The sequence below is a fragment of the Homo sapiens genome, chromosome 20 (genome assembly GCF_000001405.40).
Source record: "Homo sapiens chromosome 20, GRCh38.p14 Primary Assembly".
Taxonomy (NCBI): Eukaryota; Metazoa; Chordata; class Mammalia; order Primates; family Hominidae; genus Homo; species Homo sapiens.
Genome location: NC_000020.11, coordinates 62,735,730 through 62,755,839, shown reverse-complemented (window position 1 = coordinate 62,755,839; position 20,110 = coordinate 62,735,730). Strand labels below are relative to the sequence as shown.

Below are 20,110 nucleotides of genomic sequence, written 5' to 3'. Positions count from 1 at the left end.
GGGAGGGATGGATGGAGGGAGGGAGGATGGCTGAAGGGAGGGATGGAGGGAGGGAGGGAGAGATGATGGCTGGAGGGAGGGAGGATGGCTGGAGGGAGGGAGGGAGGGAGGGATGGAATGAGGGATGGAGGGAGAGAGGGATGATGGAGGGAGGGAGGATGGATGGAGGGAGGGAGGATGGATGAAGGCAGGGATGGAGGGAGGGAGGGAGGGATGGAATGAGGGATGGAGGGAGGGAGGGATGATGGAGGGAGGGAGGATGGATGGAGGGAGGGATGGACGGAGGGAGGGAGAATGCATGGAGGGAGGGAGTGATGGACGGAGGGAGGATGGATGGAGGGAGGGATGGAGGGAGGGAGGATGGATGGAGGGAGGGAGGGATGGAGGGAGGATGGATGGATGGATGGAGGGATGGATGGAGGGATGATGGATGGAATGATGGATGGAGGGAGGGAGGGTGGATGGAGGGATGAAGGGAGGAAGGGAGAGAGGGATGGATGGATGGAGGGAGGGAGGAAGGAAGGGAGGGAGAGGTAGAGGAATGAATGGAGGGAAGGAGGGAGAGAGGGATGGATGGAGGGAGAGGTAGAGGAGTGAATGGAGGGAAGGAGGGAGAGAAGGATGGATGGATGGAGGGAGGGATGAAGGGAGGAGGGAGGGGTGGAGGGATAGAAGGAGGAAGGGATGGATGGATGGAGGGAAGGAAGGATGGATGGAGGGAGGGAGGGAAGGATGGATGGATGGAGGGAGGGAAGGATAGATGGAAGGATGGAGGGAGGGATGGAGTGCAGAATGGCACTCACCCCTCGGGGGAGCTGGCACCCTTGGGTCTTGGCCTGACAGCTCCATCCCTATGTCTTTAAACCTTGCCCAGGCTTGGGGTGGTTCAGCGCTCGCTGCCTTTGCTAGCCCTGGCCTGCCTCCCGCCCCTGGAGGGCCCAGAGGTTACGTACGTAGGACGCGCACGCCGTGCCGCAGGGCCTGGACCCTGCCAGGCTCGATGGCCATGCTGAATGTGCTGTGCTCGCCCCCGACCGTGCACACTTGGCCCTGCTCGGCCGCCTGGCGTACCATGACGGTCAGCTTGTTGGCGATGATGGTGTTCAGGACCGAGATGACCACCATGGGGAATATGAAGGACATGAAGGTGTTGACCTGCAGGAGAGGAAGGGCGAGGCTGTCAGAGCCAGCAGCGGGACTCATGCACCCTCAGCTGGGATGCCTGCCGTGCTGATTGGGGTGTCAGGCCTGCTCAGTGTGAGGTGCTCAGTCAACACAAGTTCAGGAGGTCCGGCCCTATCCCGGCTGCCCGGAAGACATGGCCACCCCTGGCTGCTGTTGTAAGCTGGCCCTCAGCCTGCCCCCGACCCTGCCTCTGACTGGGAAGAAGTTTGCAGACTCCCCTACTTTCATGAGTCCCTCCCGAGGGTCCCGCCTGTACACAGCAAGGAACACAACCACTGGGGTGTCCCAGCTGTGGCAAAGGCCCTAGGCTCTAGGTTCCCAGGTCTGGACATGTTGTGTGCATGGCTGAGGCCCACAAGCACGTGGCTGCCCCACCCCAAGGCCCGTCCTGTGGGAGAGTCAAGCCCTGGCCTTGTAGCTGTGTGCAGACAGTTCTCCTAGGTCCTGACAGCTCACACTAATAGAGGCCCCTTCCTCCCTCCCACCCCAGCTACCTCTCAGAGCATTGAAAGGTATAGGGCCCCTGTTATCAGCACCTGGAGCCCCCACTCCCCACCTCTAGCTTCCACATCAACCCACAAGGCTGGGTCATCATAGCTACCCTGCACCTGATCCGAGTCCTGGACAGGGTAGAGGTCCTGCCCAAAGACTCCAGCGCAAGGGGGGCTGTGCCTGGATTTGAGCCTGGCCTGAGCTGAGTCCCGCTCCTTCTGCGACTCCTGGCTGAGACGTGACTCTGTAGGCACTGGCAGGGTGGCTGTGACTTCCCCAGATGGGCAGTGGCCTAGCCTCCTCCTCAACCAGAGCTGCTGCTCAGAACAGGAAGGGGACATGTCTGCGGACTGGCAGCAGCAGAACCAGCCAGGACGGCCATGGCCCGGCTTCCAATGGAGAAACCGGCACCCCTCCCTGGGGCAGTGGAATAACAGCCATCAATGGCTTTAAAATCTTCCTTGGCCTTCGGTTCTTTGTAAGATGCTCTTCTCTGCAAGCCAGATCTTGGCGTCTTTGGCTGCCACACTTGCGGGTTCGATCCTGTGCCGGGGACGGAGGCTGCCCCCTCTCTGCCAAGCTGCCCGGGATCCTCATGCTGAATTTCTGATTCCAAGAAGCTTTTGGGTGTCTTGGAGAAGCGGCCTGTACTAGCTCTGTGGCTGGTGGCTGTGATTGCGGTAGAAAGTCCAGGGGTATCTGCCGTGGGATTCCCTGGGCTGGGCTGCAGGGGCCACCTCCCTCCCAACCTCCTGCCACAAGGGAGGGCAGAGCCACATGGCCTCAACAGTCCAAGTCAGGATGGTCCCGGTGAGGACAATCCTCGCCGTGTCTCGCTAATGAAGGCGGCGGTGGCCATGGGACAGGGCAGCCACTGAGAGGTGCTGGGGTCGTGGGAATGTCGGCAGGTTTTCTCCCTGGCCCCCTCTGGGCACCGGCTGAGGCACCTCTGGAGGTCCTTCCTGCTCCCATCGAAGCTCCCGGCTCCACTCAGAAGCACTCAGAGGCCTTCAGGAAGGAGGCGGCCTGAGTTTACCCTCACATTCCATTTGAGCAGAGTTCTGCTAACAGATCAGAGGACATGCATGGAGAGGGGGCACTCAAACCCCCGGGAGGCAGCATCCTGCACCTGCCAGCCCAGCGCCCCTTGCTCGTGCCACCTGTGTGGGCTCCTGAGAGCCACCACCACCGCTGCTGACCCTGGCTGGGTGGCGGGTCTGTTCTGCCCTCCCCTGCTTGGGCGTCCGGATCTGAGGCCGTCCCGCGTCCCTCCTGTTCTCCTGCTCTGGCCGAAGTCCACCTTCTGCAGGACAACAAGGTGCTGGTGAGACTGGGGGCAGGTAAAAACTCCCTCTTCCCACTCCGGCTGCTGGGAGCGGGGACAGGGGAGGCCAGGCCCAGCCTCAGGAGATAAACCCATTCCCTGTGAGTCACCGCAGCCCGGGGATAGTTTAAACAGCACCAATGTATCCAACACAGATTTTAAATGTCAAAACATTTAAAATACCAACCTCACCAACACGGCTGGCTGCAAAAATAGCTACCTCTGGGGGCTGGTGGGTTGTAGGGTCTGGCCCCGGCCCCCTGGCTGCCCCCGTTGGAGGATCCTGCCGTTTCCAGAGGGAGGGAACAGAGTCTGCCGCAGGGCCACGTGTGGGGACAGAGGCGGGGCCTTGCAGAGGAAGTCTGGCCCTCCCCCGCCTCCCCCACCTGCCCACCCTGGAGACTGAAGCCGAGTAGGATTGGGGGGTGAGGGGAATGCACCCCGACTCCTGGGGCCGGCCTTCTCTTCCCAGACGCACAGCTGGAAGCAGGGGCTTTGGCTTGCGCCGTCCTTTCCTGTAATCTCTCCCGCTCTGGGTAAGGAGCTGCCCCCCACCTCCACAACAAGCAAAGGGAGCACGTCCATCGGCAGCGCGGGGACTCGGAGGAAAGCCTGCGATGCTGCTGGGGGTGAGGGGAGGTGAGGGGAGGACTGAGCGAGGGGAAGGACAGGCCCCTTCCTGGACAGAAGGACCCGTTGAGATCACGTCTGTGCATCCAGTCCCTATAAAACACGAGAGCTGTTGTGCATAGACACATGGACTCTACAGTTCAAGTGGGAAATAGTCTCAGAATGGCCAGAAAGGCTCTTGAAAGGCAGGTCGCTAGGACAAGGGAGCGTCAGCCTTGCCAGCCACTGGGATGTACCTGAGTGTCACTGAGAGTGACCTTAATGAGGAGAATTTGGCATCGACAGTGCCAGATCAGACAGAAGCTCCATCTGTGATGGAGACAGCATCCAGATCATCGGGGAGAAGACTGGCCACCCAGGCATGGCGCTGGACAGCTGACGGCCTGGACCACAGGAAGCTGGGTCCTCAGGGCCCCTGTCCCACCCGCCTCCTTCCCCTGGGGAGCCGTGCACCCTCCATCCCACTGGCATGTGGCCCAGACCTGGCCAATCAACACATCCCAAAAGGCCTGGGTAGGCCCTCATTGGACAGGTCAGCCAAACATTTGCATCAGTCACATTTGTCTGATGAGGGCCAGCCCCAAACCTTTGCTAGACACCAGCTTTGCCTGGGCTCACTGAGCAGGAAATGCATCCGTGGCCGTCAGTGCCGTTTTCCTACCTTTTAGAGAAGACCTGCCTAAGAATAAAGCCAGCACCGGTGAAGCGGGGCACCCCATGACATTGTTTGTGCTCCTGGGTCAAGCTGCGCCTGCAGCTATTATTCTTGGACTTTCAGTGTGTCTTGAGTGAAATAAATATTCCTTTTCTTAAGGGATAAGACAATTTGACTTAGTTCCTGGAGTTAGTACCCTAACTCATAGAGATCTTACCCCAAAAAAATTCCACATGGTAAGAAGATTAAAACCTAAAACCAAAAACCGTAACATTACTATAAGAAATCATGGAAGTTTTAAATTTAAATGTATATATTTTTAACCTTTTCCCCCAGCTTTATTGAGGGATAATTGACAAATAAAAATTGTATCTATTGGCCAGGTACCGTGGCTCATTCCTGTAATCACAGTATTTTGGGAGACTGAGGCAGGAAGATCCCTTGAGGCCAGGAGTTTGAGACCAGTCTGGGCAACACAGTGAGACCCCATCTCTACAAAAACTAAAAAAAATCATCCAGGCATGCTGGCATACGCCTATAGTGCCAGCTACTTGGGAGGCTGAGATGGGAGGATTGTTTGAGCCCAGGAGTTTGAGGCTACAGTGAGCTATGACTTCGCCACTGCACTCCAGCCTGGGCAACAGAGTGAGACGCCCATCGCAAAAATATTTGTATCTATTGACTGTGTACAATGTGATGTTGTCATCTATGTATACATTGTGAAATGATCACCGCCATCGAGCTAATGAAACATCCGTCACCTCACAGTTACCCCCGTTGATTATGGTGGGAACACAAGATTTATTCTCTGAGGACATTTTGAGTGTGCAATGCAGTATTGTTTTTTTTTTTTTTTTTTTTTTGAGACGGAGTCTCGCTCTGTCGCCCAGGCTGGAGTGCAGTGGCATGATCTCGGCTCACTGCAATCTCCGCCTCCCGGGTTCACGCCATTCTCCTGCCTCAGCCTCTGGAGTAGCTGGGACTACAGGCGCCCGCCACCATGCCCAGCTAATTTTTTTGTATTTTTAGTAGAGATGGGGTTTCACCATGTTAGCCAGGATGGTCTCGATCTCCTGACCTCGTGATCCACCCGCCTCGGCCTCCCAAAGTGCTGGGATTACAGGCGTGAGCCACCACGCCCGGCCGCAATGCAGTATTGTTAACTCTGGTCCTCACACCATACCTCAAAGCTCCGGAATGTACTCGCCTTATAACTGAAACTTTGCAGCCCTTGATCGTCCTCTCCCCATTCCTCGTTCCCCTCCCCCAGCACTCAGTGCTCTGCTCTCTGTCTTCACGAGTTTGGCTTTTTCAGATTCCACACATAAGCGAGATCACACAGCATTTGTCTTTCTGCGCCTGGCTTATTTCACTTAGCATAATGCCCCCAGGTTTGTTGCGGCTACCGCAAATGACCAGATCTGCTTATTTTTCAAGACGGAGCAGCACTCTGCTGTGTATCTGCACCACGCTCTCTCGATCCGCGGGTCTGCTGAGGGACACCTGGGTTGATTCCGTGTCTTGGCGATTGTGAACAGTGCCGCAGCGGACAGGGGCTTGCAGGGATCTTTTCAAGATCCGGATTCCGCTTCCTTTGCATAAATACCCAGAAGTGGGATTGCTGGATCCTACGGTGGTTCTGCCTTTACTTTTTTTGAGGAGCCCCCATCCTGTTTTCCGTAACAGCCGTACCCATTTAATACATTCCCACCAACAGTGCACCGGGGCCCCCTTTTCGCCACATTGTCCCCACCACGAGTTATCTGCCGGCTTTTTGATGATCGCCATCCTAACAGGTGTACAGTGATAGCTCACTGTGGTTTTGATTTGCAGTTTCCTGATGACTAGTGGTGTTGAGCACCTTTTCAGAAACCCATTGGCCATATGTAGCTCTTCTTTGGAAAAATGTCTACTCAGGCCCCTTTTCCATTTTTAAATGGGTTATTTTTCTCCCATTTTGTAGAGACTGCCTTTTCGTTTTGCTGTTTCTTTTGCTGTGCAGAGACTTTTCATTTTAATGTAGTCTCATTTATGTTGCTTTTGTTGCCTGTGTTTTTGCTGTCATAAAAAAATCACTGCCAAGACCAATGTCAAGAAGCTTTTCTTCTATGTTTTCTCCTAGCAGTGTTATAGTTTCAGGTTTTATGTTTAGATCTTTAATCCACTTTAAGCTGATTTTTTTTTGCATGGTGTGAGATAAGGGTACAATTTCAGGCTCTCGAGTAGCTGGGACTACAGGCGCCCGCCACCACACCCGGCTAATTTTTTGTATTTTTAGTAGAGACGGGGTTTCACCGTGTTAGCCAGGATGGTCTCGATCTCCTGACCTCGTGATCCGCCCACCTCGGCCTCCCAAAGTGCTGGGATTATAGGCGTGAGCCACCGCGCCCGGCCTACAATTTCATTCTCTTGCATGGGGATATCCAGTTTTCCCATCACTGTTTGAGGAGACTGCTTTTTCCCCATTGTGTATTGGTGCCCTTGTGTCTAAGTCCATTTTATGTTGCTTATGACAGAAGACCTGAAACTGGGTAATTTACAAAGAAAAGTCAGGTATTTATCATGGTTATGGAGGCTGGGAAGTCCAAGGCCCAGGGGATGCGACTGGTGAAAGCCTTCTTGCTGGGGGGACTCTCGGAAAAGTTCCGCCGTGGCATGGGGCATCGCGTGCAGAGGGGGCAGAGCATGCTAGCTCAGGTCTCTCTTTCTCTTCTTATAAAGCCACCAGCTCCCCTTGTGTGATTGCCCCTTAATCCTATAACTCATTTATTTATGAATGGATTAATCCATTCATGAGGGTCCAGTCCTCACAGATCCCATCACCTCTGAAAGGCTCTACCTCTCAATCCTGCCACACTGGGGATGAAGTTTTAATAAGATTTGGAGGGGACATTCAAACCATAGCACCTTGTCAAAGATGATTTGACTGTACGAAAGTGGGTTTATTGCTGGGCTCTCTGTTCTGTTCCGTGGGTCTATGTGGTACTAGTACCATGCTGTTTTGATTACTATAGCTTTGTAATATAAAAGGAAATTAGGAAGTGTGATGCCTCCAGTTTTGTTCCTCTTTCTTAATGTTGCTTTGACTATTTGAGGTCTGTTGTGGTTCACTATGAATCCTAGGATTTTTTTTTCTATTTCTGTGTAAAATGTCATTGAAATTTTGATAGGGATTGCACTGAATCTGTAGATCACTTTGGGTAGTATGAAAATTTTAACAATATGAATTCTTGCAATGCATGAACATGAGGTATCTTTCCATTTATTTGTGCAATTTCTTTCATCATGTTATATTCAGTGTACAGGTCTTTTACTTCCTTGATTAAATTTACTCTTTTTGATGCTATTGTAAATGGGATTTTTTTTTTTTTTTTTTTTGAGACAGATTCTCATTCTTGTTGCCCAGGCTGGAGTGCAATGGCACAATTTTGGCTCACTGCAACCTCCGCCTCTCAGGTTCAAGCAATTCTCCTGCCTCAGCCTCCCAAGTAGCTGGGATTATAGGCACACACCACCACGCCCAGCTAATTTTGTATTTTTAGTAGATACTGGGCTTTGCCATGTTGGCCAGGCTGGTTTCAAACCCCTGACCTCAGGTGATCCACCCGCCTCGGGCTCCCAAACTGCTGGGATTACAGGTGTCAGCCACTGCGCCTGGCCCTCTTGATTTCTTTTTGGGATAATTCATTGCTAGTGTATAGAAACACAACTTATTTTCATATGCCAATTTTGTGTCCTGCAACTTTATTGAATGTGTTTATTAGTGCTAACAGTTTTTTTTTGTTTTTGTTTTTGTTTTTGTGGAGTCTTTAGGGTTTTCTATACATAAGTTCATGTCATCTGCAGAGACAATTTTACTTCTTCCTTTCTGATGTGAATGCCTTTTACTGCTTTATCTTGCTTAATGGCTCTGGCTAGGCCTTCCAGGACCATGTTGAGTAGTGCATCCTTGCTTTGCCTGACCTTAGAGAAAAAGCTTTCTACTTCTTATCACTGAGTGTGGTGTTAGCTGTGGGTCTGTCATACGTGGCCTTTACACTGAGTGTGGTGTTAGCTGTGGGACTGTCATACGTGGCCTTTACACTGAGTGTGGTGTTAGCTGTGGGTCTGTCATCATACGTGGCCTTTACACTGAGTGTGGTGTTAGCTGTGGGTCTGTCATACGTGGCCTTTACACTGAGTGTGGTGTTAGCTGTGGGTCTGTCATACGTGGCCTTTACACTGAGTGTGGTGTTAGCTGTGGGTCTGTCATACGTGGCCTTTACACTGAGTGTGGTGTTAGCTGTGGGTCTGTCATACGTGGCCTTTATTGTGTAGCATGCATTCAACACCCAGTTTGTTGAGTGTTTTTATCATGAAAGGATGCTGAGTTTTGTCAAATGCTTTTTCTGTATCAAATGAGATGATCAAATGGCTCTTGTCCTTCCTTCTGTTCATGTGGTGGATCACATTTACTGATTCATATGTGCTGAACTGTGTTTCCATCCCAGGGATAAATCCCACCTGCTCATGGTGGATGAGCCTTTCAACATGCTGTTGAATGAAGTTTGCCAGTATTTTGTTGAAGATTTTTGCCTCTTGGTTCTTTTCTCATAGCGTCCTTCTCTGGCTTTGGTATCAGGGTAATGCTGACCTTGTAAGATGAGTTAGAAAGTGTTCCTTCCTCTTCACATTTTCGGAATTGTATAAGGACTGGTGTTAATTCTTCTTTAAATGTTTGTAGCATCCATCGGCGAAGCAACCTGGCCCTGCCCTGGGGTTTTCTTTTTTGGGAGGTTTTTGGTAACTGATTCAATCTCCTTCTTTGTTATTGGTCCTTTCAGATTTTCCATTTCTCGCGATTGACTCTAGGAAGCTTGTGAGTTTCTAGGAATGTATCCATTTTTTCCAGGCTGTCCAGCTGGTTTGTATAAAATTGTTCACAGTTTATTATGATCCTTTTGATTTCTGTGGCATCTTGTAAAGTCTCCTCTTTCATATCTGATTTTAGCTATGTCTTCTCTCTTTTTTCTTGGTTAGTCTAGCTTCCCTCCACCTTTCTCCCTTCCTCCCTCCCACAAACATCACTGCCTTGGAGAAGCCATAGGAGCCCCTGCCGTCAGAGGTCTTGGATCCTGGGGAGGAGAGACCACTGAAAGAACCACCTGCAGTGACTTCAGGGCCAATAAGAGCTACAGACACAGCGATGCTGGCGGCAGCCTGGCTGCAGTAGTGCTGGGGGTTCCGGGAAGGCCTCTGCTTGGAGGTGACTTCTCATCTCTGACCTGATGGCACCCACAAGCCTACAGGGACCCTAAGCTCTCCTGGCAGACGGTCCAGCAAACTCACAGACCTGAGAACTCAGGGGGTGAGAACTGAACAGGAAGCAGACGGCCAGGCTGGGGTAGTGTGGGGGCCTGGTGGTGACCCGCCGGGCGGCAGCCTTGACCTTCCCCCTGGCTGACCCCTTCTCTGACCTCTGCTAGTGTGGCCCCCGTCCCTGCCCAGGCTGAGCGTCTACCTCTCTAGGCGTCTCAGCCCTGGCCACATAGGGTGGCCTTGAGGGACTTTGTCCAATGGACTCAAGCAGCTTGAAGGCCATGCAGGGCCGGCCAGAGGATGCCTCAGCGCCACTGATGCCACAGCACCCTGGCGCCTTTCGATTTGTCTCTAAAGAGAGCAGGGAGTCACCTGGCCCAGCCCCATGAATATTCTGGGGGACGCGTGGTGGCTGGGACTCCCAGACCGCCTGGCTTTGCAATTCCAAGCAGCAGGGGAGGGTCATGGCCAACAGCAGGGAAGCCCTGGGGACGGCGAGGCTGTTCAGCAGCTGTAGAGAAGGCCATCCAGTCCCAGCGAGGTCCACGCCAAGCTGGATTTGGAGGCGAGGCAGAATATGTGTCTCTGTCTGTCTTTGTATCTTTCTCCTGTGATGTCTCTGTGTTTTTCTCTGTGTTTTTCTGTGTCTCTGTCTCCTTGTATGTTTTCCTTCCTGTGTCTGTCTCTGTTGTGTCTCTCTCTGTATATCTGTGTGTTTTCCTCTGTGTCTCTGTCTTTCACTGTTTTCCTGTGTCTGTCTCTGTCTGTGTGTCTCTGTTGTTCCTGTGTCTCTATCTCTGTATCTCTGTGTCTCTGTTCTCCTGTGTCTCTCTCTGTCTGTTTTCCTGAGTCTGTGTCTCTATCTCTATATCTCTGTGTCTCTGTCTCTATCTCTGTCTCTGTTTTCTTGTGTCTCTGTATCTCTGTCTCTGTGTCTCCCTGTGTCTGTTTTCCTCTATGTGTCTGTTTCTCTGTCTCTGTGTCTCTCTCCATGTCTCTCTGTGTCTCTGCTTTCCTCTCTGTGTCTCTCTCTCTGTCTTTGTGTTGCTGTCTGTCTGGGTCTCCCTCTGAGTCTGGTGTGTGTACCAACATCCTCAGGTGGCAGGAACTGGCTGGGCCACCCTCCCTGGAGCCGGCTGGGTAGCTGGGCTCTGGGCCATGGGCCTCAGTGGCTGGGTCTGAGGTTTTAGGGGTGGATGTTCCAGAGCAGAAGGTCATGGTGGGAGACAGGGGTGTCTGCTGTGACAGCCGTGGTGGTCTGGAGGTGGGGCTGCCTCCATGGGAATCTCATTCGTGCTTCTGGCAGTATCCTCTGCTGTGTGCACCCCTCAGCTGCTACCCCTTGCCTCCTAGCCCTGTCTGGGTCTGGGAATGGCGTTTGAGTGGTTGGTAGGGCCTCAAGCCTCTCAGAAGCAGCCGAATGCCTGGGGTTTGGTGCCAGAAGTGGGGGCCTGGCTTGTTCCCTGGCCAGCTGTGAGCTCGGCAGGTCCTCCTGGGCCTCAGGCTCATTTCTCTCTTTTTTTTTTGTGAGACTGAGCTTTGCTCTTGTTGCCCAGGCTGGAGTGCAGTGGCGCGATTTCTGCTTATCACAACCTCCGTCTCCCAGGTTCAAGTGATTCTCCTGCCTCAGCCTTCCTGAGTAGCTGGGATTACAGGCATGTGCCACCATGCCTGGCTAATTTTGTATTTTTTTTTTTTTTTGAGACGGAGTCTTGTTCTGTCACCCAGGCTGGAGTGCAGTGGTGTGATCTCAGCTCATTGCAAGCTCCACCTCCCGGGTTCACGCCATTCTCCTGCCTCAGTCTCCCCAGTAGCTGGGACTACAGGTGCACGCCGCCATGCCTGGCTAATTTTTTTGTATTTTTAGTAGAGACAGGGTTTCACCATGTTAGCCAGGATGGTCTCGATCTCCTGACCTCATGACCCGCCCACCTCGGCCTCCCAAAGTGCTGGGATTACAAACACGAGCCACTGCGTCCAGCCCCTCAGCCTCATTTCTAAAAGAGCGAGCCTAGAGGTGCTGCCTCAGTTCCTGGAGCACTGACTGTGCTCCCTTGGGTGTGGGAAAGGAAGCAAATTGGGGGGCACAGGACTGCGGCTTGGGAGGCTGGGATGGGACACGCTGGGGCGACGGCTGGTGGGGCTGGACCTATGGGAGGGACAGCCTGGCCTCTGCCCCCTCGCATGTGTAATTTTGATGGGGAGGACGGAGGTGGAGTGAAAGGTTAGATAATGAAACAGCAGGTGTGTTAGGGGGATCTGGACCGGGGCGCAGCCTCTGGGTGGTTGGTCTGAGCTTGGCCGTGGAGACCAGGTGGGGAGCGGGAGGGGTGCACACGGTATGCCTGCCCACAGGTGAGGGCACAGCCAGACAGCAGGAGGGTGCCCCCGACACAGGCTCCAGACAGCCGGCCTCAGCCCCTCGACCTCAGGCAGGGCGTTCTCACCTCGCTCTTCGAGAGCAATTGCTTGTTTTGTATTCTGCCTTTCTCTCTAATTCATCCCATTGTGTTTAGATCAAGAGACAGCCCCAGACTGGCACACTGCTTCCCGGCTCCGCAGCCAGCCTGTGCTGAGTGGGAAGGTGCAAAACCCTTTTGCTTTGCAGAACCCAGAGGCTTTGTAAGATGGCTGCAGAGGCTGCGGGGCGGGTGGGAGGGGAGGCTCCTGTCCACACCCTCCCAAGGGGGTGACCGCTGGGGTGGCCTTGCTGGGCTGGCAGGGGATCGCCCTCTCCCTGAGCAGATGACCAGCCCCAGCAGGGCCCAGGCTCACGGACGGTCTTTTCTAACCTCCCAGACAGACTCCAGGTGGAGAGGCCCCCACTAGACCCAGCAAACACTGACTTGGGAGCAACCCTCAGGGTTCTCATGACCCCGAACTGCCTTCCCCACCACAGCTGAGGCCAGGAACGATGGCAGAGTTAATTCAGAAACCCTGTGTGCCAGGGCCGTCAGCACAGGCTTGTTCGAAACCCCAATGATTGGTGAACAACTCAAAGGCTCACCCTTTGGGGCTGGTCGCCATGGCATGACGCACCCACACCACGGGGCACTCAGCTGACTGGACCGGGGGCAGGGAGCAATGAGGCAATGGGTGGGCCTGAGATGGCCGGGATACGTGTCCAGCAGGGGCGGCTCCGTGCTCCCCTCCCAGCCTGACTCTCTGGATTGGAGCCTACCGAGCTGATCTGGGGAGAGGGCAGGGTAGCTGGGAGGGTCTCAGGTGTGTCCCCCAAAAGCTAGACTCCCACAGTGAACTACCTACACAAACAAAGCTAAACTCAGAGAACGTTCCACTTGCCTGTGCTGTGGGTATGTCCCGTGACAGGTGCCCTGGGATGAACAGGAACCCCACGGCCACACCAGAGCCACTGTGACCACCTCACAGCCCTGGAACTGGGGAAACACTGCGGGGAGAGGGATGGGAACCCTGGTGGGTCTCTGCTCCCCATGCCAGAGGTGGGGTGCCAGGGCCAAGAGAGCAAAGGGGTCTTTAAGGTGACACAGCCCAGCGCTTTCCAGGAGTGAGGTCATCCAGGAGGCTCTGACCAGTGGCTGTCCTCAGAGGAGACACCATGGAGGGACCCAGGGAAAAGCAGCGGCCACCCACAGGACACCTGAGACCTAGGGCCCTGTGTAAACAGGTGTCTGGGGAGCAGAGGACGGAAGGCATAAAGAACTGCCAGTGTGACCTTGTTCTAGAAGGTTCTGGTAGTGGCCAGCTTGGGATACTGTGCTGTCCCTCAGTCCCCAGTCTCTTTCCTCGGTCCTCCCTCCCAGGCATCTAAGCAGTACCAGGCCCGGCTCGAGATGCTGCTGGGATCTGGAATGCAAAGCTGTGGGACTTGCTGCCCAGTGGGGACACGCCTGACTCATGGTGGATGGGGGCCTGGAAAGCCGTACATTGCCGCGTGGTCAGCAGTGACCACAGACCTGGCCTGAGGAGGAGCCCACACACCACCTCCTGGAACGCCAGCATTTCTGAGTCCCTGAGGGCAGGACTGGAGAGAGAACAGGCGTGTGACCTGGAGGGGCCATGTCAGCCACCTCGGTGTCTGTGGGACCACTGTGGGGAGGGGATGAAATGGACGGCGCAGCTTCTGGCTAGTACTTGGCCCCTCACGACCCCGTCCACGCCTCCATCAGAGAGCTCTGATGTGCAGGTTTTGGCTCAGTATTAAAAATAACGGTTTGAATTCCTCTAACCTTCACTTTCTAGCTGACATCGACTGTCCTGGGGTCTACACATACTCTGTGTGCACCACCTCAGGCACACAGGTCTCATCTGTGAGGCAGAGGCTCCTGTCAGGCTCCTTTTGTAGATAAAGAAACCCAGGCACAGTTGTGAACCCAGGGGCCTGATCCCACAGCCTGAGCTCCCACTTCCTCCATCAGGGGCCATCCTATGAGCAGATCCTCATCCCCACTGGTGAAGCTTTGTGGCATGTACCTCACCTGAGCAGATGCCTTCTGTGGGCCATTGCCAGGTTTTGAGAGCATCTAGTCCAAGGCTGTGGCTCCTTGGCGACCTCTCAGGGACTGAGCCTGCCCCACAGCCTCTGTCCATGGCTCCTCCACTCTGTTCCCTGCACTTTTCTTCTGGTTTGGAATTTCTGGGAAAGGCTCAAGAGAATGCCAGAGCCCCAGGGAGCCTCAGGGGTTCAGTACCATGGACAATGCCCAGGCATGCTCGAAGGGGCGCACAGACATGGGGTGGGAGGAACATGGTGTGGGGCAGGGGGCCGGTGTAGGGACCCCCAAGCCAGCTGGGGGCAAGGACCCCATCAGGAGAACTCTGGCCACCTGCAGACCCGTCCTCTGAGCGGGGCTGGTGAGTCACCCGTCACCTCTGCAAGAGGTTTGCCCTCCTCTCCTCTTCCAGGCAGCAGGGAGCCCTGAGTGTGGGAGTTGGAATCTTTTCCCTCCTGATTGCTGGAGCTATAGAGGCCATTGTCTGAGTGGGGACTTGGCAGAACAGAAGCCCCTGGAAGCCACATCCTGTCTGTGCCCGGCTGAGCTGCGGGACTGGCAGCAGCCTGGCTGCCGGGAGACCCCTGACTTAGCAGCCTGGCTGCCGGGAGACCCCTGACTTAGCCCAGAGGGCCTTAGTCAGATTAGGGAAAGAGCCTTCCTGACACCCTTGCCTCCTCTACCTGTGCTGGGCAGGTGCCCTCCAGGACAGGAGGAGGGGAGGCCCCTGGCCCTCAGCCCCGGGAACGGCCCTCCCCTCGCTGAGCCTGGCCGGGGCCCAGAACCCCAGTGTGCCCCATTAGTCACTCTGAGGGCAGTGCTGGGGTGGCGAGTTGCTTTTCAGCTGCTCCAGCACTTCTCAAGAGTAAATCACAGGCAGCGGCAGGTGACAGCCAGCGGTTGAGGCTGCGGGCTGCAGGTCTCTGCCATGTTTTCAAATATCTGCCAGCTTCAAGCCCATGAGAATGCTCACACCCACAAGGCATCTGCTGGGAAGCACGACAGGGCTTTAAAAACTCTTGACAAGCCCAGGAGGCTGCGCAGAGCAGTGAGTGAGGGGTGGAATTCTGGCCCCGGTCACGGCCCCCACCTCTCTGGGGATCTGAGCGGGAAGGATCCCTGGTAGGGCCTCGCACTCCTGTTTCTCAGATGAGGAAACCGTGGCCAGGTGGGGGCTCCCCTGGGCTCGAGTCCACAGCTCTGGTCTCCACCCTCAGACTGTCGGCACAACCCTTTTCCCTCCCGCCTGCACGGCTTGTAAGATCTGTCTCCCGCTCACCCTATGACTAAGAATGAGCCCCACAACCCTTTTCCCTCCGGCCTGCACGGCTTGTAAGATCTGCCTGCCGCTCACCCTATGACTAAGAATGAGCCCCACAACCCTTTTCCTTCCGGCCTGTGCGGCTTATAAGATCTGCCTGCCGCTCACCCTATGACTAAGAATGAGCCCCACAACCCTTTTCCTTCCGGCCTGCACGGCTTGTAAGATCTGCCTGCCGCTCACCCTATGGCTGCGAATGAGCCCGTTCGATCCGGTTTGCTGAGGCTTTCGTTCATACTTTTCTAAAACGCAGGGCACTAACGTGACAGATCAGAAGTGGAGCTAACACACTTAGCACAGAGCGCTTTGGAGCCCGGTTCCTTGAAAAAAGCCACACCATCCGGAAAAGTTCTCTGCTCCATGCAGGAAAAGCCCAGAGACCTGCAAACGCAAGCCCTGGGTTTCCGGGGAGTTTGTGCAAAGCCCCAGCTGTGACCAAGGAGGAGCTGCTGTGATCAAGGGGGAGGCCCTGCAGCTGGGGACGAGGCGGTGCGGCCAGGGGCCAGCAGTCCCAGCACGACTTAACTTTCCATGTCAGAGCACAGATTTGGAAAAGAGCAAGTGTTCCCAGTTGCCTGCGGGACAGCATATGCGTCCCGCACCCCGCCGGCCTGTTCTCCAGTTCTGGCCGTCGCCGGCCGCTGCACCTCCAGCCCCACGGTTCTCTGTGTGCTTTTCTGCCATGCAGACATATGGGCATCAGGCACATCCTGCCCCTCCCAGCGCCTAGTGGCCACGCCCTGGCAAAGCTGGCCGCCGTGTCCCACAGACATCTGGCTCTACACAGCATCTCAGCGGTGTCAGTGGAATTAGTGTTCTGCCCTGTTGTGGTGAATCTGATTATGGTGAACACACAGAGCCAAGTGTCCTCACCCACCGGAAGAGGCCGTAGGGGTGAGAGAGGAAGGCCGGGGGCGGCCCCTCACACCCCCAAGTACCTGCATGGGAGGGACTGACTCAGTGACACCTGGCTCTCCTTGCTTCCCCAGCTGCCCAGCCCCTGGGCTCAGGGGGCCCCAGGCTCTGGCTTAACCCCAGATCTCCACCCTTTGTGCTTCAGCCAGGCCCCTTCTGTGTGATTCCAGGGGCTCCAGCCTCTACCCTGAGTGGCCGAAAGGAAGGGCCAGTGCTCTGGAACAGCAGTGGGACCCAGGGCCACCCCATCCAGTGCCGAGTCTGGGATCTCAAGAGCATAGGACGTGGGAGACTTGGTGAACCAAGAGGGCCCAGGGGCCAGGGTCAAGCACAGCCAGAGGGGGCCTGCTGCCCGGAAGTGTCCTGGAGAGCCTCTCAGCCTGTCCCGGTTCAGTCTCAAGAGCCCAACGGGTCCCCAACGGCGCCACACGACATGAGGTTCCACACGCGTCTCCCTCACAGCCACGCAGGGCTTTCCTTTACAACAGTGAGGAGGCTTGGCTTTTCTGTTTTATGAATGGCTCAGTGCATGAAAACACGCGTGTGTAAAAGATAGATCACTGGGGAGGCGACAAGTCCCAGCTTTCCCATTTCTAGATCCTAGAGTCAAGAACAAGGCAGCCCAGGATTTTGGCCTCGCTGAGTGACCCTGAGCATATTTCCCTTCTCGTGCTGGCCCTGTCTCCTCCTCATGATGGAAGGGGATGGGCTGGTCCATTTTGGAGATCTCTGGCCTGAGACCTAGACCCTCCGCCATCTCTGCTGCCAAGAGCAGCAAGGCTGGAGCCACCTCGAGGACCAGCGTGAGCCTGGACGTGTTCCCAGCCTCCAGCCCGGGTTCCTGCCATGCTAACCCCGCGGGCAGAAGAGAGGCAGTGCACAGGGCTCCCTGCCAACACAGGCACGGCTGAGGCCTGTGGCCACCTTGCAAGGTAGGAGCCCATGAAAGCCAGAGGGCTGATTGGCTCCAGGAGAAGCCTGTCTCTAGAGAGAGACAAATGTACGGCTCATAGGCTCGCCGGGAGATTTTCATGATACTTCGCTGGTGGTCATCAGCCTGTCCTTCCACCCTGCAGGAACGCAGCGGCAGCTGAGGCCTTTTTAGGAAACGAGGCCTCCCCATGGCTCGGGCTATTACTGCTGGCAGCTGGGAGGCTGACCCCACAGCTGCAGGCTTCTCCCCAAGCCGGGCTGCAGACCTGAGCAGGGAGTAGTTTGCCTGACTCTTCTTGGAATGTTCCAGAACTCAGTGGCTGCACCTGCCTTGTCTGTCCCTGTCCCTGGGTTCATCCAGGCCGGCCATCTAGCACCCTCCGTCACCCTCTGCGTGCACCTGGGTTCATCCAGGCCGGCCATCTAGCACCCTCCATCACCCTCTGCGTGCACTGCGTGCCCAGGCCCGCCTCGTGGAGCCTTCAAAAGCCCTGACGGTGCACCTGATGCATCCAAGGCACCTGGCATAGGCAGAGGAGGGGGAGGGGGGCAGACGTGGGCAGATGGGCACTGCAGGGAAAGGGATGCGGCTGTTGCGGAGGACCAGGGGGCATGCAGCGTGGTCTGGGGGAGATAAGGGGCCATTTTCCAGAGGAGGGAGCTTTACGCAGAGGCTGCAGGGCTGAAGGGCATCTGTGGGCCAGGAGGAAGGAGGTAAGAGTGTGTGAGGTGGTGCAGGGGTGTGGGGGGTGGGGAGGACCGGGGGCAGGGGTCAGGTCATCAATCCTGGACTTGGAGCAGCTCAGAAGTGGGAAGCAGCAGCAGGAGGTAAAGCAGGAGGCCGCTGCAGCCACAACTGCATTCTGGGTTTGCTCTCAGGGGTGGGGCCAGGGAGGGACCCAGGTGTGGCCTGCATCCGGGGCTGGACCTGGCGATGGGCAGATGTGGGGACGAGAGCAGGTGGGAAGGAAGGAGGATCGCAGCGCCCAGGCAGGGACGGCATCTCTCTCCAGGCTCTCCTCAGGCCGAGTGGGGCAAGGCCACAGAGGGCTCGTTTAAGTGCAGGCGTGGATGCTGCATCCCATGCTCGGCCCCTCCCTGCAAGTAGGACAAGTGGCCCCACAGAGGTCACGTGCCTGCCGCTGTGCCTGATGAGCAGGGGTGCAGCCGTGAGTCAAGGGGCTCTCCGACTGCACGGAGGGAGCCATTTCACCTCTGGACACGCATCCTAGGGTGGGGTGGGTGAATGCTTTCTGTGAAGGTCCAGAGAGTGAGTCACTGTGGCTTCGTGGGCCGGAGGATCTCAACTTTTGAGCAGAACCACTCACTGTGGCCGCTGTGGCCAACACAGCCATAGCAGTACGTACATGAGCAGGTGGGGCTGAGTGCTGATGAAACTTTACAACTCCAGGTGGGTCTGGGTTGGCCCCGTCCTCACGAACACGGGGCTGATCATCGCACCATCCATCCGGGAAAGACTGGGCCCAGGCCAAGTGTGTGAGTCCATTTTCGCACTGCTCTAAAGAACTGCCGAGACTGTGTAGTTTATAAAGGAAAGAGGTTGAATTGACTCACAGTTCTGCAGGGCTGGGGGAGCCTCAGGAGACCTACAATCATGGTGGAGGGAGAAGCAGGCACTTTCTTCACTGGGCAGCAGGACGGTGTGAGTGACAGCAGGGCAAACGCCAGACGCTTCTAAAACCATCAGATCTCATGAGATTCACTCTCACAAGAACTGCCTGGGGGAACCGCCCCCACGATCCAGTCACCTCCCCCTGGTCCTGCCCTTGACACGGGGCATTATGGGGATTACAATTCCCATGAGATTTTGGGTGGGGACACAGCCAAACACATCACGAAGTAACTCCTACGCCAGGTGTGTGCATGTGGCCTGGGCCCTGGTCACAGATGGAAAATGAAGCAGTAAAACAGAGGAGGGTCTCAGCTTGCGGGTCCTATGCTGAGGGTCCAGGTTGTTCCCTGGGAGCCACAGGCCAGGGCCTCGGAGTCCTCGGAGTCCTCGCTGGGAAAGGGGCTCTGCTGGAGGTTTGGGCCCGCCCTGCATAGCTGGGAGCCCTCTCTTTGCCCCACCCACAGGTGGAAGCCACTTCCCTCCTCTCCCAAACCCCCTCTCCTGGTTCCCCAGTTGGAGTGATCCACAGAGGAGATTCTGCGTCTAAACTGGGACTCAGGGAAGCTTCTGGAACTGTGAGAGGGGTTTGGTTCCTGCCTTTCTGAAGACAAAGTGGCGCCTGTCTTTCAGGGCATTGCGCCTGAGGGTACAGAGAGTGGGGCTCTGCCTCTGGGGTCCCAGGGTCTCCCCAGCTGCCAAGGGCAGCAGCCCCAGACCCAGACAGGGAAAGGAGCCTGGCTTCCCTTCCCGCCCTGCTCCATGGGGCAAGTGCAGAGAATCCCCAGCCACGATGCCCCTGCCCGAGGCACCCCAGGCTCCAGGCAGATCTCAGGCCTCCTAACCCAGGCCCTGCCCCGAAGGGACAAGTTTCAGAACAAACTGTCCACTGGGCTAATACCCCGGCTTTTGTGATCACCACATACTGATTTCTATCGAGGGATGAAAATTGACAAATTTAAACGGGAATTACTGGGCTCGGAAATTTGTTCTTTGTAATGAAGGGAACAGTTGAATACAGAATCTGAATTTGGGATTCAGACCAGACCCCCTCAGAGAAAGTGCTGAACCCGTGAGGAATTGGAGGGTAAGGGGAACTGTTCTTGGCAACTCCTGTCCCATTTCCTTTTGGGATGGGGGCTGCTCCCGCCCCCTGCACAGCCCCACAGGTCACAGCGGGGAAGACCCTGTCCCTGGTCCCCGGTCGCAGTGTGTGCCCTTTCCTACTTCCCTGCACGCCAGCCTCAGGAGGTGA

The 20,110-nt window shown here is 55.7% G+C and overlaps 1 protein-coding gene across 1 annotated transcript in view, besides 2 other annotated features; it reads right to left on the bottom strand.

Moving 5' to 3' along the window:
• Positions 1-20,110, bottom strand: part of NTSR1 (neurotensin receptor 1) — a 53,936-nt gene that overhangs the window by 6,932 nt on the left and 26,894 nt on the right. The window contains exon 2 of the mRNA NM_002531.3: positions 954-1,155. Within this exon, the coding sequence (NP_002522.2) occupies positions 954-1,155 (202 nt within the window). The remainder of the gene's footprint in view (positions 1-953; positions 1,156-20,110) is intronic.
• Positions 14,881-16,080: an enhancer, noted in NCBI's record as "P300/CBP strongly-dependent group 1 enhancer chr20:61371112-61372311 (GRCh37/hg19 assembly coordinates)". NCBI's record gives its function as "activates an origin of replication core promoter dependent on BRD2, BRD4, P300/CBP, MED14 and CDK7 cofactors, with strong dependence on P300/CBP, by STARR-seq in HCT116 cells {active_cell/tissue: HCT116}" and the evidence as "EXISTENCE:reporter gene assay evidence [ECO:0000049][PMID:35650434]".
• Positions 15,272-15,900: an enhancer, noted in NCBI's record as "H3K4me1 hESC enhancer chr20:61371292-61371920 (GRCh37/hg19 assembly coordinates)". NCBI's record gives its function as "activates a minimal SCP1, AML or CMV promoter by ChIP-STARR-seq in naive H9 embryonic stem cells {active_cell/tissue: H9 hESC(naive)}" and the evidence as "EXISTENCE:reporter gene assay evidence [ECO:0000049][PMID:30033119]".